The sequence below is a fragment of the Homo sapiens genome, chromosome 19 (assembly GCF_000001405.40).
Source record: "Homo sapiens chromosome 19, GRCh38.p14 Primary Assembly".
NCBI lineage: Eukaryota > Metazoa > Chordata > Mammalia > Primates > Hominidae > Homo > Homo sapiens.
The window spans coordinates 44,725,988-44,732,089 of record NC_000019.10 but is presented as its reverse complement, the minus strand read 5'-3'; positions in this window follow the sequence as shown (position 1 = coordinate 44,732,089).

Sequence of the window (6,102 nt, the reverse complement as noted above, 5' to 3'; positions counted from 1 at the left end):
TCCAGGTCAGCAAAGGAGTGCCCGATGGTTCAAAGGGATGCAGGTGAGGCCCTGACAGTGCTCAGCCCACCACCTGCCCTCCGGAGACATAGGAGCCATTGTCAGCTGCTCAGGTCTCTGTCTCCAGTTCCCCTCTAAAAGCTCATAAAGCCCCTCTGTTTCACTTGTAAACGTTTCTTGCATGAATCCACAGTGAGACCTGAGACCTCAGCACCTGCCCTCAGTGATCATTCCCTCCTTCCCAACTCCCTCATCATTTACCCAGGCACAGAGAAGTTAGGAGCTTTGTCTAAGGTCACACAGCCAATAAGGGGGAAGAGGAGCTAAATGTGTGTGTGTGTGTGTGTGTGTGTGTGTGTTTTGAGACGGGGTCTCACTCTGTCACCCAGGCTGGAGTGCAGTGGTGCATTCACGACTCACTGCAGCCTCCACCTCCCGGGGCTCAGGTGATCCTTCCCCCTCAGCCTCCTGAGTAGCTGGGACTACAAGCATGTGCCACCATGCCCTGCTAGTTTTTGCATTTTTTTTTTTTTTTTTTTGTAGAGACAGGGTCTTGCCAGGAAGCCCAGACTGGTCTTGAACTCCCGGGCTCCAGTGATCCTCCTGCCTCAGCCTCCCAAAGTGCTGGGATTACAGTCCTGAACCACTGCACCTGGCCAGGAGTTTAGATTTTAAAAATCAACTGTACTGAGGTATAATTTACATGCAATAAAATACACCTGTTTCAAATGTGTGTGTTTGGCGGGGCATGGTGGCGCATGCCTATAATCCCAGCTACTTGGGAGGCTGAGGCACTTGAATCCAGGAGGTGGAGATTGCAGTGAGCTGTGATCTTGCCACCGAACTCCTGCCTGGGTGACAGAGCGAGACTCTCTCAAAAATAAATCAATTAAATTAATTAAAATTAAATTAAAGAAGGAGTATGCTAGATGAGTTCTGATAAACATGTACAATCATTTAATCATATCCTGATCAAGATATAGAACATTTCTAGTGCCCGGAAAAGGTCCACTGTGCCCTCCTTGCAGTCATCTCCTCCCCTTGTCCCCAGACACTGGCAGCCACTAATCTGCTTTTTCTTTTCTTTTTTTTTTTTTGAGATGGAGTCTCACTCTATTGCCAGGCTGGAGTGCAGTGGCACGGTCTCGGCTCACTGCAACCTCTGCCTCCCTGGTTCAAGTGATTCTCCTGCCTCAGCCTCCCTAGTAGCTGGGACTACAGGCGCCCGCCACCATGCCTGGCTAATTTTTGAATTTTTAGTAGAGACGGGGTTTCACCATGTTGGCCAGGATGGTCTCGATCTATTGACCTTGTGATCTGCCCGCCTCGGCCTCCCAAAGTGCTGGGATTACAGGCGTGAGCCACCGCGCCCGGCCTCTTTTCTTTTCTTTTTCTTTTTCTTTTTTCTTTTTTTTTTTTTTGAGACATTTTGCTCTGTCACCCAGGCTGGAGTGCAGGGGCGCGATCTCTGCTTGCTGCAGCCTCTGCCTCCCGGGTTCAAGTGATTCTTCTGCCTCAGCCTCCCCAGTAGCTGGGATTACAGGCAGGCACCACCATGTCCGGCTAATTTTTGTATTTTTAGTAGAGACGAGGTTTCACCATGTTGGCCAGGCTGGTCTTGAATTCCTGACCTCAAGTGATCCACCCACCTCAGCCTCCCAAAGTTCTGGGATTACAGGCATGAGCCACCACACTCAGCTATATCTGCCTTTTTTTTTTTTTTTTGAGATGGGGTCTTGCTCTGTCACCCAGGCTGGAGTGCAGTGGCACGATCTCGGCTTACTGCAACCTCCACCTCCCGGGTTCCAGCGATTCTCCTGCCTTGGCCTCCTGAGTAGCTGGTATTACAGGTGCCTGCCACCACGCCCGGCTAATTTTTGTATTTTTAGTAGAGGTGGGGTTTCACCATGTTGCCCAGGCTGGTCTCAAACTCCTGACCTCAAGTGATCCACCTGCCTCAGCCTCCCAAAGTACTGGGATTACAGGTGTGAGCCGCCACACCCAGCTGCTTTTTATCCCTATAAATTTGCTTTTCCAGGATGACATGTAAATGGGATTACAGAGTATGTAGTCCTTAAAAAAAAATCATTGACAAATTTACCTACAGTAAAATTCACTCTTTTCATCATACATTTCTTTTCTTTCTTTCTTTCTTTCTTTTTTTTTTTGAGGAATGTTCTCACTCTGTCACCCAGGCTGGAGTGCAGCGGTGCGATCACCACTCACTGCAGCCTCAACCTTTCAGGCTCTAGCGATCGTCCCGCCTCAGCTTCCTCATTAGCTGGAACTACAAGTGCACGCCACCAAGCCCAGCTAATTTTTGTATTTATGGTAGAGATGGGGTCTCACTATGTTGCCCAGGCTGGTCTTCAACTCCTGGCCTCTTGCTTTGGCCTCTCGAAGTGCCTGTGGGGCATGCAGTTCTTAAAGCTTTGACAGGCTCATGTGGCTGTGTAGTCACCACCAGAATCAAAATATGGATATGTCCCACCACCCCTAAAACCCTTCATCTGCCCTTTTGGGGTCACGCCCATCCCCCACCCCACCCCTGGCAACCACAGGTCTGTTTTCTGTCCCTCTAGTTTTGCCTTTTTCAGAGTGTCTTGTAAATGGAGTAATGTAGTTATTATCATTATCATCATCATCATCATCACCATCATCATCAATATTTTTATAGAGATGGGGTCTCACCATGTTGCCCAGGCTGGTCTCAAACTCCTGGGCTCAAGCAATTCTCTCACCTTGGCCTCCCAAAGTGCTGGGATTACAGGCGTGAGCCACTGCACTCGGCTGAACACTGTAATTTTTGAGCATAGCTTCTTTCACTCAATATAACACAGTTGAGGTCCATCCACGTTGTGTGTATCAATAGCAGTTAGTCTTCACTGCTGAGTGATATTCCATTGTGTGGATGGACCACAGCTCGCTTATCCACATACAAGCTGAAGGACATTTGGGTTGTTTACAGTTGTTGGCAATTATGAACAGAGCTGCTGTGAGTGTGTGTGCATACAGTTTTTTTGTGTGAAAATAGGTTTTCATTTCTCTCGGGTCAATACCGAGGAATAAAATTGTTGGATCCTATGGGAAGTGTGTATTTAACCTTGCGGGAAGTTGGCAAACCATTTTCCAAAGTGGCTGCTCGGGGCTTGCACGCCCACCAGCAGCCTGTGGGAGTTCTGGCTGTAGAGCTACGAGGTGAATCCGGGTCTGAGAGATGACACTGAGGTCTTAGGCACCACGCCACACCACTCCTGAAATATAATAACAATTGCGGCAAGAGCTCTCGTCTGTCCACAAGTCGACACTGTGCATGCAATTATTAAAAAAAAAAAAAAAAAAAAGAAGGTGCTGATGCGGTGTGATTTTCCAGATGTATTGCTGTATTGCTAGGGGAAAATGCAGGCCACAGCAAGACTGTGCACCATTTGCAAAGCGGCCCCCGCCTGTAATCCCAGCACTTTGCAAGGGCAAGGTGGATGGATCACTTGAGCCCAGGAGTTCGAGATCAGCCTGGGCAACGTGGTAAAACCCCGTCTCTACCAAAAATACAAAAATTAGCTGGGCATGGTGGTGCGTGCTTATGGCCCCAGCTACTAGGGCGGCTGAGGTGGGAGGATCATTTGAGTCCAGGATGTGGAAGCAGCAGTGAGCTATGCTGGCACCACTGTACTCCAGCCTGGGTGACAGAGTGAGACCCTGTCTCAAAACAAAACAAAACAAAAAAACGGAAACTGGGAGGTGAGAACAGGACTGGGGAGGGAGGGGCAGAGTCGTGGTGGGGAAGTGACAGCTCACTGCCATTTGGTCCTTTTTGAATTTTGGAACTTGTGAACACCTTACCTTTTCAAAACACACACACAATTCATTCACTCTGCTAACAGGTTTTCCAGGCCCTGCCCTGGTGTTGAACAACTAAGATTCCTGCCCTTGGGGAGCCACAGACTCGTCCATCCATCCAGGAGACAGTCAACAAGACAAGGAAAATACAGCCAATGGTATGTATTTGCTATGGAGAAAAATAAAACTGGTGAGGGAATGAGGGAGATGGAGCATAGGAAGTGGAAGCTGTTGTTTAAATCTGGTGGCCAAGGGAGGCCCTCCAAGGAATGACGTTTGGGGCTAAGACTTGAGTGAGGGGAGGGAATGAACCATGTGGACATCTGGGGGAAGAGTATTCTAGGCAGAGGGAACAGCAAGTGCCAAGGCCCAGAGGTGGGTCGGAACAGCTGTTGGAGGCCAGTGTAGCTGGAGCAGGATGAGCTGGGGGAGAGTGGGAGGATGGGGAGAGGGGAAGGGTGGCAAGGAGATGGCTCAGGATCTTATGAGCCACTGTAGGGACATAGGCTTTTACTCAGAGGGAGATGGGAGCCATGGAGGGTTCTGGGCAGGGGAGGGATAATCTGACTTCATTTTTTATTTTTTTTCGAGATGGAGTCTCGCTCTGTCGCCCAGGCTGGAGTGTAGTGATGCCATCTGGGCTCACTGCAACCTCCGCCTCCCAGGTTCAAGCGATTCTCCTGCCTCAGCCTCCTGAGTAGCTGGAATTACAGGCATGTGCCACCAGGCCCAGCTAATTTTTATATTTTTAAAATAGAGACAGGGTTTCACCACGTTGGTCAGGTACCATGTTGGCCAACTCCTGACCTCAGGTACTCTATCTGCCTCGGCCTCCCAAAGTGCTGGAATTACAGGCATGAGCCACCATGCCCAGGCCAGGTTTTAATTTAATTTAATTTGTTATTATTATTACTGTTTAGAGACAGGGTCTCACTGTGTTGCCCAGGCTGGAGTACAGTGGTGCCATCTTGGCTTACTATAGCCTCGACCTCCTGGGCTCAAGCGATCCTCCCGCCTCAGCCTTCTGATGACTTAGGTGTTAACAGGATCCCTGTGGCTGCATGTGGGGGAAAGACAGGTCCTTGTGGAGGTGCAGCAAGGACCCAGGCAGGGAGTCCCATGAGGAGGTGACTGCATGGTCCGGGCCTTCAGTGATGGTGGCTGGACCAGAGTGGGAACTTTTTTTTTTTTTTGAGACAGAGTCTTGCACTGTCACCCAGGCTGGAGTGCAGTCGCATGATCTTGGCTCACTGCAGCCTCCACCTCCCGGATTCAAGCGATTCTCATGCCTCAGCCTCCTGAGTAGCTGGGATTACAGGCGCATGCCACCACACCCAGCTAAGTTTTGTATTTTTTGTAGAGACGGGTTTTCACCATGTTGCCCAGGCTGGTCTCGAACTCCTGGGCTCAAGTGATCTGCCTGCCTTGGCCTCTCAGAGTGCTGGGATTACAGGCATAAGCCACCTTGCCCAGCCACCATTTTTTTTTTTTTTTTTTGAGGTTGAGTCTCTCTGTGTCGCCCAGGCTGGAGTACAGTGGCGCAATCTCGGCTCACTGCAACCTCTGCCTCTGGGGTTCAATCGGTTCTCGTGACCTCAGGTGATCCACTTACCTCAGCCTCCCAGAGTGCTGGGAAATACAGGTGTAGGCCACCGCGCCCGGCCCTACATCTTTACTTCTTTTGGTCGTGGGGGCTTTTGGAGAGGTACAGGGAACCAGGAGACGGAGGACAGAGAGGACCCAGGGGACCGGGCCTGGCCTGTTTGAGCTGAGACCTGAAGAGCATGGGGAAGTGTTTGAAGGAGGTGAACAAAAGGCTTTATTAGAAAACCAGAAAGGAGGCTGGGCGCGGTGGTGCATACCTGTAGTCCAAGCATTTTGGGAGGCTGAGGCGGGAGGATCGCTTGAGCCCAGGAGTTTAAGACCAGCCTGGGCAATGAGTGAGACCCTATCGCTAAAAAAAAAATTTAAAAATTTACCCAGGTGTGGTGGCATGTGCCTGTAGTCTCAGCTACTCAGGAGACTGAGGTGGGAGGATTGCTTGAGCCCAGGAGGTTGAGGCTGCAGTGAGCTATGATGGCACCACTGCATTCCAGCCTGGGGCCAGAGCAAGACCCTGTCTTAAAAAAAAAAAAAAAAAAAGAAAAAGAAAAGAAAAGAAAGAAAAAGAAAAAAAAATACAAGCAGTGAGTGGTCAGGCTGTGGCTGTGGCACAGCACTTGGCTTTCTCCTGGGGGCACTGGGGAGCCATGGCAGATTCTG